The sequence below is a fragment of the Homo sapiens genome, chromosome 1 (assembly GCF_000001405.40).
Source record: "Homo sapiens chromosome 1, GRCh38.p14 Primary Assembly".
Classification (NCBI taxonomy): Eukaryota; Metazoa; Chordata; class Mammalia; order Primates; family Hominidae; genus Homo; species Homo sapiens.
The window spans coordinates 170048701-170071575 of record NC_000001.11 but is presented as its reverse complement, the minus strand read 5'-3'; the positions used below and the strand labels follow the sequence as shown (position 1 = coordinate 170071575).

Sequence of the window (22875 nt, the reverse complement as noted above, 5' to 3'; positions counted from 1 at the left end):
TCACTTCCCCTTTGATCTTGTCCACTGTGTTATAATGAAGCACAAAAGCCCTCACTGGAAGCCAGAGTCATGCCCTTGAACTTCCCAGCCTGCGGAACTGTAAGCTAAATAAACCCCTTTTCCTTATAAATTACCTAGTCTCAGGTATTGTGTTATAGCAACATAAAATTGACTAATTCAGTATTCCATTTTATGGATATACCACATTTTGTTTGTTTATTGCTCATCTGGTGGTGGACATTTGGGTTGTTTCTACCTATTGGCTATTGGGAATAAAGCTGCTGTGAACATTACTGTACAAGTTTTTGTTTGAACACTTGTTTTGTATCTTTTGGTGTATACCTAGGCCTGGAATTGCCAGACCATATGGTAATTCTATGTTTAATTCATTGAGGAACCACTAAAGTGTTTTCCCTAGTGACTGCACCATTTTACATTCCCACCAGCAATGTATAAGAATTCAGTTTTCCGTATCCTCACTAACACCTGTTATTTTCTGTTCTGTAATTATTACTATACTAGTGGATATCAAATGGTATCTTATTTTGGTATTGATTTGCCTTTCCCTAATTACTAATGACATTGAGCTTTTCATGTGCTTCTTGGCCATTTGTCTTTATTCTTTGGGAAAAGGAGTTCTTTGTAATAGAACCTTGTCAGATACATGATTTACAGATACTTTGTCCCATTCTGTGGGTTTTCTTTGCACTATCTTGGTATGTAAAACTTTCATATGCAAACATTTTTAATTTTGGTGAAGTCTAATTTATTCTTTTGTTGCTCATGCTTTTGGCATCGTTATTTAAGAAACCACTGCTAAATCCAAGGTCATGAAGGTTTGTCCCTCTGTTTTCTTCTAAGAGTTTTACAGTTTTAGCTTTTACATTTAATATCCTTGATCCATCTCGAGTTAGTTATTGTCTATGGTATATGGCAAGGGTCCATCTTCATTCTTTTATATGTGACTATCTAGTTGTTCTGACATCATTTGTCAGAACAAATGTCAGAAAAGAACAATTGACTGTTCTTTTCCTCCATGAATGGTTTGGGCAATTTTTTTGAAAATTAAATGACCAAAAATGTTGGGGTTTATTCCTGCACTCTCAATTATATTTCATTGATCTATCTGTCCGTGTGCTAGTACCTCACTGTTTTGATTACTGAAGCTTTGTAGTGAGTTTTGAAATCCAGAAGTGTGAGTCCTCCAACTTTGTTGTTCTTTTTCAAGGTTGTTTCAGCTATTTAGGGTTCCTTATATTTCCATTTGAATTTTAGGGTTGGCTTTTTCATTTCTGCAAAAAAAGCTATTGAAACTTTGGGAATATAATGAATCTATAGATCACTTTGGGGAATATTGCCATCTTAACAATATTAAGTCCTTCAGTCCATGAACATGTGATTTCTTTTCATTTAGTTCATATTAATTTCTTTCAGCAACTTTTTGTTTTCAGTATACAGTTGTTCCTTGGTTACGTTTACTCCTGAGTATTTTATTCTTTTTGATGCTATTGGAAATGAAGTTTTCTAAATTTCCTTTTCATATTTTTCAGCTCCAATATGTAGAAAAACAGTGGATTTTTTTGGTGTGTTCTGATCTATTCTCCAACTTTGCTGAATTTATTAGCTCTAGCCAGTTTTTTGTGCCATTTTTAGAATTTTCTATATATAAGATTATGTCTTCTGCAGATAGAAATAATTTTACTTCTTCTTTTTCAATCTGGATGCCTTTTTATTTTTTTTTCCCATGCCTCATTGCTCTGGCTAGAATTTCCAGTACTATGTTGAATAGAAGTCAGGAAAGTGGATAAACATTCTTGTCTTGTTCCTGATCTTAGGGGGAAAGCTTTCATTCTTTCACCATTGAGTATGATATTGGCTGTAGATTTTTCATATATGCCCTTTATTATGTTAAGGGACTTTTCTTCTATTCCTAATTTATCAAGTACTTTTATCATGAAAAGATGTTGGGTTTTGTCAGATGCTTTTTTCTGCATCGATTGAGATAATCATGTACTTTTTTTCTTCATTCCATTAATGTGGTGTATTGTATTGAAATGCCCATGTGGCCATGTTGCGTGGTCCTTTTAATATACTCCTGTATTCTGTTTGCTAGTATTTTGAGGATTTTCACATCGACATTCATAAAGGGTATTGGTCTAAAGGTTTTCCTGTAGTGTCTTTGTCTTGCTTTGGTATCAGGGTAATGGTGGCCTCATGGAATGAATTAGGAAGTGTTTCCTCTACTGTTATATCTTTTGGAAGAGTTTGAGGGGTATTTATGTTAATTTGTCTTTAAATGCTTGGTAGAATTCACCAGTGAAGCCATCTGGTACTGGACTTGTTGAAAGGTTTATGATTACTGATTCAATCACCTTACTTCTAATTCTGTTCAGATTTTCTGTGTCTTTTGAGTCAGTTTTGGTAGTTTGTGTGTTTCTAGGAATTATTCTTTTTCATGTAGGTTATCCAATTTGTTGGTGTTCATATTATTCTCTTGTAATTTTTTAATCATCAAAAGAGCAGCAGTAATGTCCCACTTTCATTTCTGATTTTAGTAATTTGAGTCTCTTCTTTTCTTTTTTAGTCAGTCTAACTAAAAGTTTTCCAAAAATGTTTGTTGATCTTTTCAAAGAACTAACCTTTGGTTTCATTTTCTCTATTCTTTTTCTAGTCTCTGTTGCTGCTTTTTATTATTTCCTTCTGCTAGCTTGGGGTTTTGTTTGCTCTTCTTTTTCTAGCCCCTTAAGGTGTAAAATTAGGTTATTAATTCAAAATCTTTTATTTATTTTTTTAAATAGAGCGTCAGTATAGAGTGTCTTATTGTGGATCTGTTTGAGTTTATCTTTGAATTTCATTGAGCTTCTTGGATGTGTAAGTTTGTCTTTGGTCTAATTTGGGAAGTTTTTGACTGTTTTTTCTCCCAGTATTCTCTATGTTTCTTTCTTCCTCTCCTTTCATACCCTCATTATGCATATGTTGGTATACTAGATGGTGTTCCATAAGTCTCTTAGGTTCTGTTTATTTTTCTTCATTCTGTTTTCTTTCTGTGCCTCAAAATGGACAGTTTCATTTGACATATCTTCAAGTTTGCTGATTCTTTTCTCTCTCTGCTCAGATCTGCTGTTAAAAACCCTGTAGTGATTTTTTTATTTCAGTTATTGTACTTTTCAGATCTAGTGTTTTTGTTTGGATCCTTATGATAATATATTTTTAAACTATTTATGTGTTGAGACATTGTGTTTCTCCTTTTTCTTAGTTATTTGCACTGGTTTCTTTTTGCTCTTTGGACATATTTAAGACAGTTGATTTAAAGTCTTTGATAAGTCCAGTGTTTGTGCTGTAGCATGGACAGTTTCTGTTAATTTTTTTTATTGTGAGAATGAGAATGAGTTTCTTGTTTCTTTGCATGTTTCATATTTTGTTTTGTTGAAAACTGGGTATTTTGAATATTATGGTATCCAAAGGAAAAAAAGAAAAGAAAAAAATACTCTTCAGATCTTTGTAGGTTGACTCAGTGTTTGGATATGGCTTCAACACTTAGCCAGGCAATTTACAATTTTACCTTAGCCTTCATTTGCTGCTTGCACAGAGCCTGAAGACCAGCCAGAGGTAAAAGCTTATGATCTTCCCAGGTTTTTTCTGGGTATGTATTCTGCCCTGAGCATGCTCATGGATTTCTAGATTTCTCTTTATATGCAATAGCTTTTCAAAGCATCTATTCCCCCAAAATGTCTGACTCCCTGGACTTTCCTCTTGGGCTTTCAGCTTGTGTTTTGTTTGACCCAGCTATTACTATTTATCCCAGGGGCCAGCAGCTTGTATGCTTGGCTTTCACTGATTTCAGTGACTGCATAGCTGCACTATCCTGATAAGAGTTTAAAATTAGTCAAAACAAAGGAAAGCCCCTTGCAGCTGACCTCAAAGGAAACTTCAGTCAGTTGCAAAACAATCAGACAAAATTCCTTGGGAGCAAGGTCCACTTGACTCCTCTAGAACCAAGTATTAACAGTGGGAACGTGGGCTGCCATCTTGAAGACTGCCACTGTGCTTGAGAGTGGGGTGGATGTCTAGGGTAAGTGAAAAGACCATAATGATCGCCTACCTTGTTTCTGTAACCTTTCTTCTGATTAAACATTCACTTGGTTGCTGTAAACCTTTGACTGTCTTCCAGAGTTCTGATGAGGTTGATTGTGATAGGTTTTTTTTGCCAAGTTTTTAGTGCTTCTGGGGAGTGCCAGCCTCTAGAGGTCCCTACTCTGCCGTTTTCACTGATGTCACTTAGCCATTATCTTTTCATATATTGCTCTGTACCCATTCTCTCTCACCTTTTTTCTGGGACTTCAAGTACATATGCTAGACCTACTCAGTATGCATTGCTGAATTATACTTTTGCTTGTGTTTTACATCTTTTTGTCTCTATGTTTTATTCTGGGTGTTTTCTTCTGACTTATATTTTATGCCATAAATTATCTCCTTACCCGTATCTAATCTGCTATTAAACCTATTTATTTATTATTATTCTTAATTTTGGTTATTGTATTTTTAATTCTAGAAATTTAAAAAAATTATCTAGTTTTTTCTGAAGATGACTATTCTTTGAGTATCATATATAGGAATATAAATGTATAAATAATCATTTGAGGCTCAGGATGATGTTCTCTTTTTCCAGAGAAGATTATATTTTATTTATGTTAGTAAGGATTACTGAAAATTTAGGGTCACCTTAATTAGTTCTCAGAGATTCAATTACATTAAACTGGGCTTTTTAGTCTTGTTGGTGACCGATCTGCATCTGTTTCACAGTTACTCCTAGGAGGTAGTCCTCCTGTTTCAAGCTTAAAGCTTGGAGCTTTACCAGAGCCACTGTTGTTTGGTGCACTCTAGAATCCAGTTTTTGTGTCTCTAGCCTCATGTGATTATTAAAAGATTCTCAACCTCTCAGCCCTCTCTTTTCAGTTAGCAGATACCTCTAGGGAAAAGTAGCCTCAAATTCAAGATTTACCTCTCTTCATTTTCTTTTTCTCCTGGATCTTGGCACTGTAATTTTTTGTGCCTTTTTAGTTCTCTTATGGCCTCAAACAGATACACACATACGTGTTTTTGCCCCCAGCTTTTAAGATTTTCTTAGAAGGTGCATTGGTTTGAATTACCTTAATCCTCTGTTTCTCTATTACCAAGTCTAATGTTAGTAATAGAAATATAAAACTTGTTTTGGTTTTACCAATATGAAAAGCATCAGGAATTATAAATATTTGAGTACATATAAGAGATTATTTCCCTCTTAATTTTTTAAAAATACATATGACTTGAAAGCAAAAATTATGAAATTTTTGTGTGAGTTTATAAGGTATGTACACATAATGCATATGACAGCTATAACATAAAGAATGGGGGGGGGGGTGTAGGCAATAGACCTGCAATTTGTGAAGTAGCACAGCATTAATTCTTAAATACCTTGTGAAAAAAAAAAGGTAACTAAAACATTGTTTTTCCTAAAGCAACCACCAAAAACAGTTTTTAAAAGTATAGTGAAAACATCTACACAAAATGGAATTTAAAAAATAATAATTCACAAGGCTGTTAGGAAAATAATCAAAGTATAGTTGGGCCAAACAGGAAATAAAAATGAAGTGATAGATCTGAATCTAAGTATGTCAGTCATTGCATTAAATGATCCAAAACAATAATGTCCAATAGAACTTTCTTCCCTGATGGAAATGACTTACAGCTGCATCATCAAATACATAGCCACTGGCTGTATGGCTAATGAACACTTTGAACGTGGTTAGTACAGCTAAGGAATTGCATTTTTAATTATTTTTAAAATGTAATGTATTTAAATTTAATTTTAAATAGACCCATGTAGCTAGTGACTATTGTATCAGACAGCATAGGTTTTAATGTTCCAATGGAAAGGCAGAGATTACCAATATTTCTTTTTTTTTTTTTTTTTTTTTTTTTTGAGGTGGAGTCTTGCTCTGTCGCCCAGGCTGGAGGGCAGTGGCATGATCTTGGCTCACTGCAAGCTCCGCCTCCCGGGTTCACGCCATTCTCCTGCCTCAGCCTCCCAAGTAGCTGGGACTACAGGTGCCCGCCACCATGCCCAGCTAATTTTTTGTATTTTTTAGTAGAGACAGGGTTTCACCATGTTAGCCAGGATGGTCTCGATCTCCTGACCTCATGATCCACCCACCTCGGCTTCCCAAAATGCTGGGATTACAGGCGTGAGCCACTGCGCCCGGCCACCAATATTTCTTTTATAAAGAAAAAAGAAAAGCAAGACCCAACTATCTGTCATCCCCAAAAAATATACTTTTAAGTATGGACATGGTAAGTTAATGGTAAATGGGTGCAATCAAACAGTAAGCATAAGAATGCTAAAATGACCATATTAATGTCAGATAAAATAGGCTTTAAGAAAACGTATACTGTAAAAACTACAGAGGAGTATTTCATACTGATAAAATCTGCTACATCCAGACAGTTTTAAAGTCAAATTCTAACAAAATTTTTGGGAAACAGATGCTTCCAATTATGTACAACTCTTCCAAGAAGTCTAGAAAAAAAAGGATACTCCTCAACTAATTTATATTAAGATTTTAGAATAATCTCCATATGAAAGTCAGAAAAAGGACATTAGAAAGGAAAATTGCAGGCTGAATGAGCAAGGATGCAAATTTAATCTAACAGTGCTTTAAGACAGCATTAACAAGTTGTGCTTATTCTAAGAATATGAGTATGGTTTTATGTATTTAATGAATTTGATGTAGTATATTTATGAATTAAAGAAGAACAATACATGATCCTCCAATGGATGCAGAAAAACATTTGATGACATTCACTACACATTCATGATTTAAGGAAAAAACTAAAGCCATAAATAAAAGGGAATTATGATATAAACATATTAAATGAGGAAACTAGCCAGGTGTGTTGGCTCATGCCTGTCATCCCAGCACTTTGGGAGGCTGAGGCTGGTGGATCGCTTGAGCCCAGGAGTTCAAGACTAGCCTGGGCAATATGTTGAAACCCCATCTCTATAAAAAATACAAAACTTAGCTGGGCATGGTGGTGCATGCCTGTAGTCCCAGCTACTTGGAAGGTGGAGGTGGGAGGATTGCCTGAGCCTGGGAGGCAAGGCTGCAGTGAGCTGTGATCACACCACTGCACTTCAGCCTAGGTGACAAGAGTGAGACCCTTTCTCAAAAAATAAAGTAACATCAGTAAATGAGGAAACTTTAGAAACATTTCCCTTAACATTAAGGATGATCCAAGGATACCTATGTAACCACCTCAACATTTCACCAGGAGTCCTAAACAGGTAGTAAGATAAGAAATAGAAAAGGTATAAAGATAGGAAGAGAAGAAATGAAACTGATATTATTCACAAATTATATATTAGTTTGTAGAGAAAACCTAAAATAATGTTCAAGCTATTGGCATTAATATCAAGGTATTAAGCAACAGTTGCTGGATGTAACATCTATATACCTCCCACTCCCAAATTGAATTTTGATATAGTTGGTTAAATATTGTTAGCAAAAAAGTTATTTACAAATGCAAATAACAATATAAGGTACTTGGGAATAAATCTAATAATAAATGATGGGCATCACCTTTCTAAAGAAATTTATATCATTTCATTAAAAGAAAATTAAATCTTAAAAGTAGATTTATCATTTTCATGGATAGATGCCTTAATCTGAAAATTCATTATGTCAGTCATTATCCCAAAAGGTATTTTACTGAATTTGAAACACAATTTTAAATTTTTAAGTGGACAGGGAAAGGTCCCGCAATACTGAGAAAAATATGGAAGAGCCAGGTTGGGAACACTTCCCTCAGGTATCGATGTAAAAATAGCTCAGTAAACCAACTGAATAAAATGAAAAGCCTAGAAATAGACACACATGGGTGTGTCTATGGGTTATTCTTGCCCACTACAGAGAAAAAAACAACTCACTGTGACAGCGGTATTGCAGTAGAGTAAGAGTTTAATAATTGCAGGGCTAGCCAAGCAGCAGGGTGGGAGTGTTACTCATACAAGCCTCCCCCAAAAGTTGGAAGTTAGGGTTTTTCAAGGACAGTTTGGAGGGCAGAGGGCTAGGAAATGGGAGACACTGATTGATTGACTTGGGGATGATATTATAGCAGGTTTAGCTATCTTCTTGTGCTGAGTCAGTTCCTGGGTGGGGATCACAGAACCAGTTGAATTAGTTCAGTGGTGTGAGTCACAGGTCCAGGTGGAGTCAGTCAGTGTCCAGAATACAAAAGTCTGAAAAATATCTCAAAGACTAATCTTAGGTTTTGACAATAGTGTTGTTATCTATCAGAGCAATTAGGGAAGATACAAATCTTGTGACCTCTGGAGCAGTAGATTATTATAGAAAGGCAAACTAGGGAACAATGGCTGGTTATCGTTTAACTGCATCTACTGGCTTAGCAGAATTTAGGTCCCTCCCGTAATTCTAATATTGGGGCCTTTCATTAGTCTTACAAAGGTGGTTTCAAGGCTAGTTTTGGGAAGGGATTGTTATCATTTTTGTTTTAGAGTCGATAGAGGCAGGTAGCATGTGAGGTTGGAAGCAAGATGGAGTAAGGTTAGATTTCTCTCACTGTTATAATTTTTGCAAAGGTGGTTTCATTCCCATTTTTGCAAAGAGGTAACATTGCCAACCAGTGATTAAAAAAAAAAGACTATAAATAAATGTTTATTTCTAAGCAGTAGGGTCACAATGTATCAGTGGGTTGTGAATAGGATAGAGTGCTTTTCACATGATAAGAATAGGCATGATTTCATGAATTTTTTGTTTCATTTATGTGTGTAGTAGGTACATACTGGTTCCAGATGCAAAATGTGCTTGACTATGACTTCTACCAAAAAAAAAGTGTAAAAGACACAGCAAAACCTGCTCATACAATTGGTTGTTTCTATGGAAAAAAGTTAAAATTTATCCCCACAAAAATACAAAAATAATATACAGATAAATCAAAGACAAAAATGTAAAAACTTTAAATATTTAGAACATGGAAGAAATTGATGACCTTGACCAGAGCTTTTTTGGTAAGGTAGGAGTAGAGTTTAGAGCCAAAGTCTAACTGGAATGGGTTCACATGTGAGTAGACTAATTAGAGTGAATATCAAAACAAAAGAAGTTTTGTAAGCTTTGGGTCTGTTTTTTTTAAAAAATGAAAAAACCAAACACAAAAAGAGTTTTGTAACAATGAAAAGCAGTGTTAATAGGATGAATATCAAGGTGTTAAGCAACAGTGGCATTAAGCAATGTAGGGTTTGGGGGTGGTGGGTTTTTTTTTTTGCCCTTTAACCTGACACATTTTCTTTTTCTTTTTTTTTTTTTTGATGGTATCTCATTGTGGTTTTATTTTATTTATTTATTTTACTCTTTTTTTAAATTATACTTTAAGTTCTAGGGTACATGTGCACAACGTGCAGGTTTGTTACATAGGTATACATATGCCATGTTGGTGTGCTGCACCCATTAACTCGTCATTTACATTAGGCATATCTCCTAATGCTATCCCTCCCCCCTCTCCCCACCACGTGACAGGCCCCAGTGTGTGATGTTCCCCATTCTGTGTCCAAGTGTTCTCATTGTTCAATTCCCACCTATGAGTGAGAACATGCGGTATTTGGCTTTCTGTCCTTGCGACAGTTTGCTCAGAATGATGGTTTCCAGCTTCATCCATGTCCCTACAAAGGACATGACCTCATCCTTTTTTATGGCTGCATAGTATTCCATGGTGTATATGTGCCACATTTTCTTAATCCAGTCTATCATTGATAGACATTTGGGTTGGTTCCAAGTCTTTGCTATTGTGAATAGTGCCACAATAAATATATGTGTGTGTGTGTCTTTATAGCAGCATGATTTATAATCCTTTGTGTATATACCCAGTAATGGGATGGCTGGGTCAAATGGTATTTCTAGTTCTAGATCCTTGAGGAATCGCCACACTGTCTTCCACAATGGTTGAACTAGTTTACAGTCCCACCAACAGTGTAAAACTGTTCCTATTTCTCCACATCCTCTCCAGCACCTGTTGTTTCCTGACTTTTTAATGATCACCATTCTAACTAGTGTGAGATGGTATCTCATTGTGGTTTTGATTTGCATTTCTCTAATGGCCAGTGATGATGAGCATTTTTTCATGTGTCTTTTGGCTGCATAAATGTCTTCTTTTGAGAAGTGCCTGTTCATATCCTTCACCCACTTTTTGATGGGGTTGTTTGATTTTTTCTTGTAAATTTGTTTAAGTTCATTGTAGATTCTGGATATTAGCCCTTTGTCAGATGGGTAGATTGCAAAAATTTTCTCCCATTCTGTAGGTTGCCTGTTCACTCTGATGGTAGTTTCTTTTGCTGTGCAGAAGCTCTTTAGTTTAATTAGATCCCATTTGTCAATTTTGGCTTTTGTTGCCATTGCTTTTGGTGTTTTAAACATGAAGTCCTTGCCCATGCCTGAGTCCTGAATGGTATTGCCTAGGTTTTCTTCTAGGGTTTTTATGGTTTTAGGTCTAACATTTAAGTCTTTAATCCACCTTGAATTAATTTTTGTATAAGGTGTAAGGAAGGGATCCAGTTTTCAGCTTTCTACATATGGCTAGCCAGTTTTCCCAGCACCATTTATTAAATAGGGAATCCTTTCCCCATTGCTTGTTTTTGTCAGATTTGTCAAAGATGAGATTGTTGTAGATGTGTGGTATTATTTCTGAGGGCTCTGTTCTGTTCCATTGGTCTATATCTCAGTTTTGGTACCAGTAACATGCTGTTTTGGTTACTGTAGCCTTGTAGTATAGTTTAAAATCAGGTAGTGTGATGCCTCCAGCTTTGTTCTTTTGGCTTAGGATTGACTTGGTGATGCGGGCTGTTTTTTGGTTCCATGTGAACTTTAAAGTAATTTTTTCCAATTCTGTGAAGAAAGTCATTGATAGCTTGATGGGGATGTCATTGAATCTATAAATTACCTAGGCGGTATGGCCATTTTCACGATATTGATTCTTCCTATCCATGAGCATGGAATGTTCTTCCATTTGTTTGTGTCCTCTTTTATTTCGTTGAGCAGTGGTTTGTAGTTCTCCTTGAAGAGGTCCTTCACATCCCTTGTAAGTTGGATTCCTAGGTATTTTATTCTCTTTGAAGCAATAGTGAATGGAATTTCACTCATGATTTGGCTCTCTGTTTGTCTGTTATTGGTGTATAGGAACGCCTGTGATTTTTGCACATTGATTTTGTGTCCTGAGACTTTGCTGAAGTTGCTTATCAGCTTGAGATTTTTTGGCTGAGACGATGGGGTTTTCTAAATACACAATCATGTCATCTGCAAACAGGGACAATTTGACTTCCTCTTTTCCTAATTGAATACCCTTTTTTTCTCCTTCCTGATTGCCCTGGCCAGAACTTCCAACACTATGTTGAATAGGAGTGGTGAGAGAGGGCATCCCTGTCTTGTGCCAGTTTTCAAAGGGAATGCTTCCAGTTTTTGCCCATTCATTATGATATTGGCTGTGGGTTTGTCATAAATAGCTCTGACTATTTTGATATACGTCCCATCAATACCTAATTTATTGAGAGTTTTTAGCATGAAGGGCTGTTGAATTTTGTCAAAGGCCTTTTCTGCATCTGTTGAGATAATCATGTGGTTTTTGTCATTGGTTATGTTTATATGATGGATTACGTTTATTGATTTGCATATATTGAACCAGCGTTGCATTCCAATGGTGAAGCCCACTTGATCATGGTGGATAAGCTTTTTGATGTGCTGCTGGATTCAGTTTGCCAGTATTTTATTGAGGATTTTTGCATCGATGTTCATCAGGGATATTGGTTTAAAATTCTTTTTTTTTGTTGTGTCTCTGCCAGGCTTTGGTATCAGGATGATGCAGGCCTCATAAAATGAGTTAGGGAGGATTCCCTCTTTTTCTGTTGATTGGAATAGTTTCAGAAGGAATGGTACCAGTTCCTCCTTGTACCTCTGGTAGAATTCGGCTGTGAATCCATCTGGTCCTGGACTTTTTTTGGTTGGTAGGCTATTAATTATTGCCTCAATTTCAGAGCCTATTGGTTATTGGTCTGTTCAGGGATTCACCTTCTTCCTGGTTTAGTCTTGGGAGGGTGTATGTGTGTCCAGGAATTTATCCATTTCTTCTAGATTTTCTAGTTTATTTGCATAGAGGTGTTTATAGTATTCTCTGATGATAGTTTGTATTTCTGTGGGATCAGTGGTGATATCCCCTTTATCATTTTTTATTGCATCTGTTTGATTCTTCTCTCTTTTCTCCTTTATTAGTGTTGCTAGCAGTCTATCAGTTTTGTTGATCTTTTCAAAAAACCATCTCCTGGGTTCATTGATTTTTTTTGTGTCTCTATCTCCTTCAGTTTTGCTCTGATCTTAGTTATTTCTTGCCTTCTGCTAGCTTTTAAATGTGTTTGCTTTTGCTTCTCTAGTTCTTTTAATTGTGATGTTAGGATGCCAATTTTAGATCTTTCCTGCTTACTCTTGTGGGCATTTAGTGCTATAAATTTCCCTCTACATGCTGCTTTAAATGTGTCCCAGAGATTCTGGTTCTTTGTGTCTTTGTTCTCATTGGTTTTAAAGAACATCTTTATTTCTGCCTTCATTTTGTTATGTACCCAGTAGTCATTCAGGAGCAGTTAACCTGAGACGTTTTCATATGTTTATTTGCAGATGGGAATGGACTACTAAATAATTACTGAAGAGCACCTTTGAGTAGGCAAGGAAAGATTAGATTTGGTTAGGGTCATCATTTTTTGCTTCTTTGCCCTAGACAGTTCTGGTTTTCAGCTGTTCCTCCCCTACACCCGCCTCAGCCCATCTGATTTAGCATTTGTCCCAGTTTAAAAAAAAATGTTATGGAGGTATCATTAGTAATTACATTAAAACAAGCTGGGATGGAGGATTTGGTAGATTTCCATTTTGTACTTCAAGCTTCTGCTAGTGTCTTGTCTAGTAGTGTATGAGACATATGAGCAGTGAATAGAGTTCCCCATTAAGCAGCCTATTGTGCCATACCCATGCTGTAAACTGTGGAAATGAATTCATATGCTCTGACAGTTGGTAAGGTCATTTGGAATTGTGGACACTGATATATTGGGTATTTTTCAAGTAGATGGAGGAAATAGATGCATAGCAGTCCTGCCAGAGAGCATATGGAGAGTAGACCAAACACTTCCTAAAACGGCTCTGTTATTTGCTCTATGGCGTAAATCTACAACTGTTTTTTATTTTATTATTTGATACAATTTTATTTTGCAGTAAATCCTTTTGAAAAGAATAATTTTTTAAAAGTTCTTATTTAATGAAAAGTTAAGGACTGCATTTTTGGTTTCTCAAGAAAATTGATAATGAATGGGTGGCAACACAAGGTTCATCAGCATTTATTATCTTTCTTAAGGGTCACAATAATATCTCTAACCACATGAAATCTAGGAACATAAGGATGTACTTCAGAAGTTAATAATTAAGAACACTGTCCCAAAAGGTGACAGTTTATCACATGCAGTTATAGAAGGTATGTTTCATATTACTCTGTGAAGCATAACTTCTCATTGAGATTAAAAGAAAATGATTTTTCTAAGTCAATTTAGCACACTTTTGGTTCTAGTTTTCTTACACATGTATGAAAACAAAGTGAAGCAGAGCTGTTATTGAGAAGGCTCTATTAGTAGAAGAAATTTGCAACCAGCTAAAAGATATCAATTTAATATCAGTGTCATAGTATGCTTCAAATAGAAATTCATTAATTTCTAATAATGGCTCAAATTTTTTTCATCTAATTAATGGAATTCAAGTAGAACGTTTGGAAATTAATCCTCCCAGTAGTTAAATATCTGACATCATTGTGAATGCTACTCAGCTTGAAAGTTCAGCATTTAAGATAAAATGATAGTTTCACCCCTGCTAGAATACTACCCTTAAGCCTCTTCTGTTAAAAAAAAAAAACTATAGCTGTCATTCTCTCTTTGTATATTATTTAGTATAGATAGAAAAATATCTGAATGTATATGTGGTAAAATAACAAGTGACTACTTCTTGTAAGTTTTTGAATTTATTTTTTCTTTGCTCATTTCTGTTTTAGTTTTTCTATAATAAACATAAGTTGATTTTGTGATAAATTGTAATTAACTTACTCCTCTAAAACACACATACACAGCAAAAAAAAGGCAAACAAAAACTAAAAAGGAGTGGTGAGGCATTTCATTTTTTTCCTTTTTAATTATTTGATTCCTTTAAGGAAAGGCAAGATATGAGACAACAGAGGACAAGAATTATGCAATTCCCCCAGCTGCCAATATGTGAAAGACCCATTTTAAAGTGGTAATAGGAGGCTAGTCTAAGGATCTGCATTTATATATCCTTACTCTTTTCTTCCCTTAACTGTATACAGTTATAAAAAGTCCAGTACTGGAATTGCTTTTCATGTTATCAGGAAGGAAGTAACTAGTTTGCCTTATGTAATTAAGATAGTTTCTTATGTTTCTTATAGTGATGCTACATTATATCTGTTTTCAGCTTTCCTTAGATCTTTTGTTTCCTGTGACTTCTATAGCTTTTGTACATATTATCTGTTTATCTTACCTTTTGGAATCTGTACCATTCTTTTAAATATATATTTATATCTCATTTCCTAATTCCTCGATTTTTGCTGGCCTCCCTGGCTTCTGTTTTCATTCTTTACTTGTCCTATATGTCTTACTATCAGTTTAGTTTCTGACCTACCTAGAATCTATGCTTTAGTGTACTTAATTTCCTACCCTATCACTATACTTGACTGTTAATCATAACCCTAATACTCACTCCAGATGCATCTCCTTTTCATATGGAATTCTGGTGGACAGATCCGTAAAAAATTACTTTAAAAATATGCATAATTAGTCAAAGTATTATTTCCAACTGAAAGAAAAGCTTTGAGTTTCTAATTATTGGAATTAAATTTAAGGTGTTGTCATATTTTTGTTTTTCTTATCAGGCTAAAAGACCCCACTGGTCAGCTAACTGCTAGCTAGGACTAAGAATGAGAGATTTTGCTTGTTTCTGTTGCTTAATCTCTTCCAGCACAACCAACTTTATCGCCTTCTAAAATGGCCAAGTGGCAAATAGTGATTAATTCATCATTGGTTTACTGCAATTAAGAATTCATTTTGCGACTTTATTGGCTTGAAGAAAGAGTATATACAACCTTTCCATAGAACCTACTATTGACACTATAATTTGAGATATGTGACTATACAGCGTACCTAACCTGTAAATGCTTTTTTGTTATGTAATTTGGGTGTGATTCAGTGATTTTATTTAGGTACTAATTCTACAACTTGTACCATTATGTTAGATGATACATGACATATATTGTAATATAGACAATTTCTTCGTGTCTTTTGGTCCAGTTAATGGGGTAATTAACGGGCAGGTTGATTTTTTTTTTTTAATGGAGACAGAGTTTCGTTCTATTGCCCAGGCTGTAGTGCAGTGGCACCATCAGAGGGCTCAAGTGATCCTCCCGCCTCAGCCTGCAATTAGCTAGGACTACAGACACCTGCCACCATGCCCGGCTAGTTTTTAAATTTTTTGTAGAAACAGAGTCTCGCTATGTTACCTGGGCTGGTCTCAAACTTCTGACCTAAAGTGTTTCTCCCATGTTGGTCTCCCAAGTCACTGGGATTACAGGTGTGAGCCATCATGTCTGGCCTGACTTTTTCTTTTAATATAAATTTTAAGGCAGTTGCCTTTGGTTTTGAATAACTGACTTTTAGTTGAGGTCATTCTCTCCAAAGCTGTCTTACTTGTTTATGTTTCATTCACTTGCTCTTATGCATGATTCTTTGGTAAATGTATTTTTTTTCTTAGGTAGAACTATTTATAAAGATACTTTATGCATGACAAAGTTATATGTATACATTTATATGTGTATATATACACACATATATACATATATATGTATATAAAACAGAGAAAAAGAGTTATCTCTAATCCCAAGTCAAGAGTAATCTGATTCAAATGCACATGTTAATCCAACCCACGTTATAGACCTAAAAATAGATAAAAACCATGGCCACTTTGAGAATTTTAATCTGGTTATATCATTTCAATTTTGTATTATAGGAAAGTTAAAGGAGGGAATATAGATGTACATCCATCAGAAAAAGCACTCATTGTTCACTATGAAGTGGAAGCTACCATTCTTGGAGAAATGGGGGACCCCATGTTGGGAGAACGAAAAGAATGTCAAAAAATGTAAGTTCTTTATTTGTGCACATTTTGAAAGTAGTGAACATTATATAAACTTTATACAAATCTGATATTATTTTGATCAGCATAGGTGATTAATTATGGCATTCTTCCAGGCATACTTCATCTTAGTGAAGGAGAGATTATATTAAACTGTAAGTATGGAGTATATTAATCCTAGGAAAAAATGAGATTTTTGTAAGCTTAATAGGAACCTGTTGTAACATACATATTCTAATTTATCCCATTTAGAAAATGAATATAATAGATTATGAACTACTAACTTGTGAAATCAACCATAAAAGATGTGTTTCTGGGTTTGTCTGTTTGTTTAATTTTACTTTAAGTTCTGTGATACATGTGCAGAAAGTGCAGGTTTGTTACATAGATATACATGTGCCATGGTGGTTTGCTGCACCTATCAACCCCTCATTTAGGTTTTAAGCCCTACATGCATTAGATATTTGTCCTAATGCTCTCCCTCCCCTTGTCCCCCACCCCCTGACAGGCCCTGATGTGTGATGTTCCCTCCCCTGTGTCCGTGTGTTCTCATTGTTCAGTCCCCATTTATGAGTGAGAACATGTGGTGTTTGGTTTTCTGTTCCTGTGTTAGTTTGTTGAGAATGATGGCTTCTAGCTTCATTCATATCACTGCAAAGGACATGAACTCATTCTTTTTTATGGCTACATATTATTCCGTGATGTATATGTGCCACATTTTCTTTATCCAATCTATCACTGATGGGCATTTGGGTTGGTTCCAAGTCTTTGCTATTGTAAATAGTGCTGTAATAAACCTATGTGTTAATGTGTCTTTATAGTAGAATGATTTATAATATTTTGGGTATATGCCCAGTAATGGGATTGCTGGATCAAATGGTATTTCTGGTTCTAGATCCTTGAGGAATCGCCACACCGTCTTCCACAATAGTTAAACCAATTCCAATTTTTCCACAGCCTGAGCAGCATCTGCCAAAACTTTTTAATAATCACCATTCTAACTGGCGTGAGATGGTATCTCATTGTGATTTTGATTTGCATTTTTCTAATGACCGATGATGAGCTTCTTTTCATGTGTTTCTTGGCCGCATAAATGTCTTCTTTTGAGAAGTGTCTGTTCATATCCTTTGCCCACTATTTGAAGGGGTTGTTTGTTTTTTCTCTTGTAAATTTGTTTAAGTTCCTTGTGGATTCTGGATATTAGACCTTAGTCAGATGGGTAGATTGCAAAAAATTTTCTCCCATTCTGTAGGTTTCCTGTTCACTCTGATGTTAGTTTCTTTTGCTGTGCAGAGGCTCTTTAGTTTAATTAGATCCCATTTGTCAATTTTAGCTTTTGTTTCCATTGCTTTTGGTGTTTTAGTCATGAAGTCCTTGTCCATGCCTATGTCCTGAATGGTATTGCCTAGGTTTTCTTCTAGGGTTTTTATGGCTTTGGGTTTTACATTTAAGTCTTTAATCCATCTTGGGTTAACATTTGGATAAGGTGTAAGGAAGGGGTCCAGTTTCTGTTTTCTACAAATGGCTAACCAGTTTTCCCAGCACCATTTATTAAATAGGAAATCCTTTCCCCATTTCTTGTTTTTGTCAGATTTGTCGAAGGTTAGTTGGTTGTAGATGTGTGGTGTTATTTCTGAGTCTCTGTTCTGTTCCATTGGTCTTTATCCCTGTTTTGATACCAGTACCATGCTATTTTGGTTACTGTAGCCTTGTAGTATAGTTTGAAGTCAGGTAGCATGATGCTTTGGGTTTTTTTTTGTTTTGTTTTGTTTTTTGCTTAGAACTGTCTTGGCTATATGGGCTCTTTTTTTGTTCCATATGAAATTTAAAGTATTTTTCCTAGTTCTGTGAAAAAAATCAATGCTAGCTTGATGGGAATAGCATCGAATTTATAAACCTTGAGCAGTATGGCCATTTTTTTCTTCCTATCCATGAGGATGGGATGTTTTTCCATTTGTTTGTGTCCTCTCTTATTTTCTTGAGAAGCAGTTTGTAGTTCTCCTCGAAGAGGTCCTTCACATACCTTGTAAGTTGTATTCCTAGGTGTTTCATTTTCTTTGTAGCAATTGTGAATGGAAGTTCGCTCATGATTTGGCTCTCTGCTTATCTGTTGTTGGTGTATAGGAATGCTTGTGATTTTTGTACATGGATTTTGTATACTGAGAATTTTGCTGAAGTTGCTTATCAGCTTAAGGAGTTTTTAGGCTGACACGATGGGGTTTTCTAAATATACAATCATGTCATCTGCAAACAGAGACAATTTGACTTCTTCACTTTCTATTTGAATACCCTTTACTTCTTTCTCTTGCCTGATTGCCTTGGCCAGAACTTCCAATACTATGTTGAATAGGAGTGGTGAGAGAGGGCATCCTTGTCTTGTGATGGTTTTCAAAGGGAATCCTTCCAGCTTTTGCCCATTCAATATGGTATTGGCTATGGGTTTGTCATAAATAGCTCTTATTATTTTGAGATATGTTCCATCAGTACCTAGTTTATTGAGAGTTTTTAACATAAAAAGATGTTGAATTTTTTCGAAGGCCTTTTCTGCATCTATTGAGATAATCATGTAGTTTTTGTCCTTGGTTCTGTTTATGTGATGGATTACATTAATTGATTTGCATATGTTGAACCAGCCTTGCGTCCCAGGGATGAAGCCGACTTGGTTGTGGTGGATAAGTTTTTTGATATGCTGCTGGATTCAGCTTGCCAGTATTTTATTGATGATTTTCACATTGATGTTCATCAGGGAAATTGGCCTGAAATTTTCTTTTTTTTGTTGTGTCTCTGCCAGGTTTGGTATCAGGATGATGCTGGCCTAATAAAATGAGTTAGGAAGGAGTCCCTCTTTTTCTCTTGCTTGGAATAGTTTCAGAAATAATGGTACCCACTCCTCTTTGTACCTCTGGTAGAATTCTGCAGTGAATCCATCTGTTCCTGGCCTTTTTCTTTTTTTGGTTGGTAAGCTATTAATTACTGCCTAAATTTCAGAACTTGTTATTGGTCTATTCAGCCATTTTACTTCTTCCTGGTTTAGTCTTGGGAGGGTGTATGTGTCCTGGAATTTATTCATTTCTTATAGATTTTCTGGTTTATTTGCTTCGAGGTGTTTGTAGTATTCTCTGATGGTAGTTTGTATTTCTGTGGGATCAGTGGTGGTATCCCCTTTATTATATTTTATTGTGTCAATTTGATTTTTCTGTCTTCTTTATTAATCTAGCTAGCAGTCTATTTTGTTAATTTTTTTGAAAAAACAGCTCCTAGATTCATTGATTTTTGGAAGAGTTTTTTGTGTCTTTATCTCCTTCATTTCTGCTCTGATCTTAGTTATTTCTTGTCTTCTGCTGGCTCTTGACTTTGTTTGCTCTTGCTTCTCTAGTTCTTTTAATTTTGATGTTAGGGTGTCAGTTTCAGATCTTTCCACCTTTCTGATGTGGGCATTTAGTGCTATAAATTTCCCTCTACACACTGCTTAAGCTGTGTCCCAGAGATTCTGGTATGTTGTCTCTTTGTTCTCATTGGTTTCAAAGAACTTCTTTACTTCTGCCTTAATTTTTTTATTTACCCAGCAGTCATTCAGGACCAGGTTGTTCAGTTTCCATGTAGTTATGTGGTTTTGAGTGAGTTTCTTAGTCCTGAGTTCTAATTTGATTGCACTGTGGTCTGAGAGACTGTTTGTTATGATTTCCATTCTTCTGCATTTGCTGAGGATTGTTTTACTCCCAATTATGTGGTCGATTTTAGAATAAGTGCCATGTGGCACTTAGAAAAATGTATATTCTGTTTATTTGGAGTAGAGAGTTCTGTGGATGTCTATTAGGTACACTTGATCCAGAGCTGAGTTCAAGTCCTGAATATCCTTGTTAATTTTCTGTCTCATTGATCTGCCTAATATTGACAGTGGGGTATTAAAGTCTCCCACTATTATTGTGTGGGAATCTAAGTCTCTTTGTAGTGTAGGTCTCTAAGAACTTGTTTTGTGAATCTGGGTGGTCCTGTATTGGGTGCATATATATTTAGGAGAGTTAGGTCTTTTTGTTGCATTGAACCCTTTACCATTATGTAATGCCCTTCTTTGTCTTTTTTGATCTTTGTTGGTTTAAAGTCTGTTTTATCAGAGACTAGAATTGCAATCCCTGCTTTTTTTTTTTTTTCCATTTGCTTGGTAAATATTCCTCCATTCCTTTATTTTGAGCCTGTGTCTTTGCATGTGAGATAGGTCTCCTGAATACAGCACACCAATGGGTCTTGACTCTTTATCCAATTTGCCAGTCTGTGTCTTTCAATTGAGGCATTTAGCCCATTCACATTTAAGGTTAATATTGTTATATGTGAATTTGATCCTGTCATCATGCTGGTAGCTGGTTATTTTGCACATTAGTTGATGTAGTTTCTTCAGTGTCATTGGTCGTTATATTTTGGTGTGTTTTTGCAGTGGCTGGTACTGGGTTTTCCTTTCCATATTTAATGCTTCCTTCAGGAGCTCTTTTAAGGCAGGCTTGGTTGTGACAGAATCCCTCAGCATTTGCTTGTCTGGAAAGGTTTTTATCTCTCCTTTGCTTATGAAGCTTAGTTTGGCTGGATATTAAATTCTGTGTTGAAAATTATTTTCCTTAAAATTGTTGAATATTGGTCCCCACTCTCTTCTGGCTTGTAGAATTTCTGCAGAGAGATCCGCTGTTAGTCTGACGGGCTTCCCTTTGTAGTTGACCTGACCTTTCTCTCTGGCTGCTCTTAACATTTTTTCCTTTGTTTCAACCTTGGAGAATCTGATGATTATGTGTCTTGGGATTTATCTTCTCGAGGAGTATCTTAGTGGTGTTCTCTGTATTTCCTGAATTTGAATGTTGGCCTGTCTTGCTAGGCTGGGGAGGCTCTCCTGGATAATATCCTGAAGTGTGTTTTCCAACTTGGTTCCATTCTCCCTGTCACTTTCAGGTACACCAGTCAATCATAGGTTTGATCTTTTCACATAGTCCCATATTTCTTGGAGGCTTTGTTTGTTCCTTTTCATTCTTTTTTCTCTAATCTTGTCTTCACGCCTTATTTCAGCAAGGTGATCTTCAATCTCTAATCTTTATTCTGCTTGATCGATTTGGCTATTGATACTTGTGTATGTGCTTCACGAAGTTTTCATGCTGTGTTTTTCAGCTCCATCAAGTCATTTATGTTTCTCTCTAAACTGGTTATTCTAGTTATCAGTTCCTGTAACCTTTTATCAAGGTTCTTAGCTTCCTTGCATTGGGTTAGAACATGCTCCTTTAACTCAGAGGAGTTTGTTATTACCCACCTTCTGATGCCTACTTCTGGCATTTCGTCAATCTCATTCTCCATCCAGTTTTGTGCCCTTGCTGGAGAGGACTTGCGATCATTTGGAGGAGAAGAGGTATTCTGGGTTTTGGGATTTTCAGCATTTTTGCGCTGGTTTTTTTCTCATTTTCATGGATTTATCCTTTGATCTTTGAGGCTGATGACCCTTGTATGGGTTTTTTTTGGGGGGGGGTGGTGTTTTTTGTTGATGTTGTTGTTGTTGCTCTCTGTGTGTTAGTTTTTGTATCAACAGCCAGGCACCTCTTCTGCAGGTCTGCTGCAGTGTGCTGCAATTCCACTCCAGACCCCGTCCTCCTGGGTATTACCAGTGGAAGCTGCTGAACAGCAAAGATTACTGCCTGCTCCTTCCCCTGGAAGCTTCGTCCCAGAGGGAGCACTGGCCTGATGCCAGCCAGAGATCTCCTTTATGAGGTGTCTATCAACCCCTGTTGGGAGGTCTCTCCCAGTCAGGAGGCATGGGGGTCAGGGACCCACTTGAGGAGGCAGTCTATCCCTTAGCAGAGCTGGTGTGCTGTGCTGGGAGAATTTCCCTTGTCAGGATCAGCTGCTCTCATCAAAGCCAGCAGGCAGGAAAGATTAAGTCTGCTGAAGCTGTGCCCACAGCCACCCCTCCTGCCAGGTTCTCTATCCCAGGGAGATGAGAGTTTTATCTGTAAGCCCCTAAGGCTGCTGCATTTCCTTCTTAGATGCCCTGCCCAGTGAGGAGGCATATAGAGAAGCAGTCTGGCCTCAGCCACTTTGCCACACTGTGGTGAATTCTACCCAGTCCAAACCTCCCAGTCTCCTTAGCACTGTCCGGGGAAAACTACCTACTACAGCCTCACTGATGGCAGACCCACCTCCCCCAACCAAGCTCGATCATCCCAGATCAACTCCAGACTGCTGTGCTGGCAGTGAGAATTTCAAGCCAGTGGTTCATAGCTTGCTGGGCTCCATAAGAGTGGGACTCACTGAGTGAGACCACTTGGCTCCTTGGCTTCCGCCCCCTTTCCAGGGCAGTGAACAGTTCTGTCTCACTGGGATTCCAGGCACCTGGGGTAAGAAAAACACTTCTGCAGCTAGCTCGGTGCCTGCCCAAACAGCCACCCAGTTTTGTGCTTGAAATCCAGGGCCCAGGTGTTATAGGCTCACCAAGGATTCTCCTGATCTGCGGACTGCAAAAACTGTGGGAAAAGCATAGTACCCGGGCCAGGTAGCACAGTCCCTCACAGCTTCCCTTGGCTGAGTGAGGGAGGTCCCCCAGCTCCTTGCACTTCCTGGGTGTAGCGACGCCCCCGCCACC

At 36.7% G+C, this 22875-nt stretch overlaps 1 protein-coding gene across 10 annotated transcripts in view; it reads left to right on the top strand.

Annotated features, from left to right (window-relative positions):
* The window catches only part of KIFAP3 (kinesin associated protein 3), a 163856-nt gene that overhangs the window by 13609 nt on the left and 127372 nt on the right, over positions 1 to 22875 (top strand). For 8 of the 10 annotated variants that reach the window (XM_024454186.2, NM_014970.4, NM_001375830.1 and 5 more), the window contains exon 2: positions 16140 to 16271. The exons of 1 other annotated variant lie outside the window; for it this stretch is intronic. In XM_024454186.2, the coding sequence (XP_024309954.1) occupies positions 16140 to 16271 (132 nt within the window). Of the gene's footprint in view, positions 1 to 2658; positions 4073 to 16139; positions 16272 to 22875 lie in introns of those variants that run through there. One more of the 10 variants, NM_001204517.2, reaches the window with a different exon arrangement.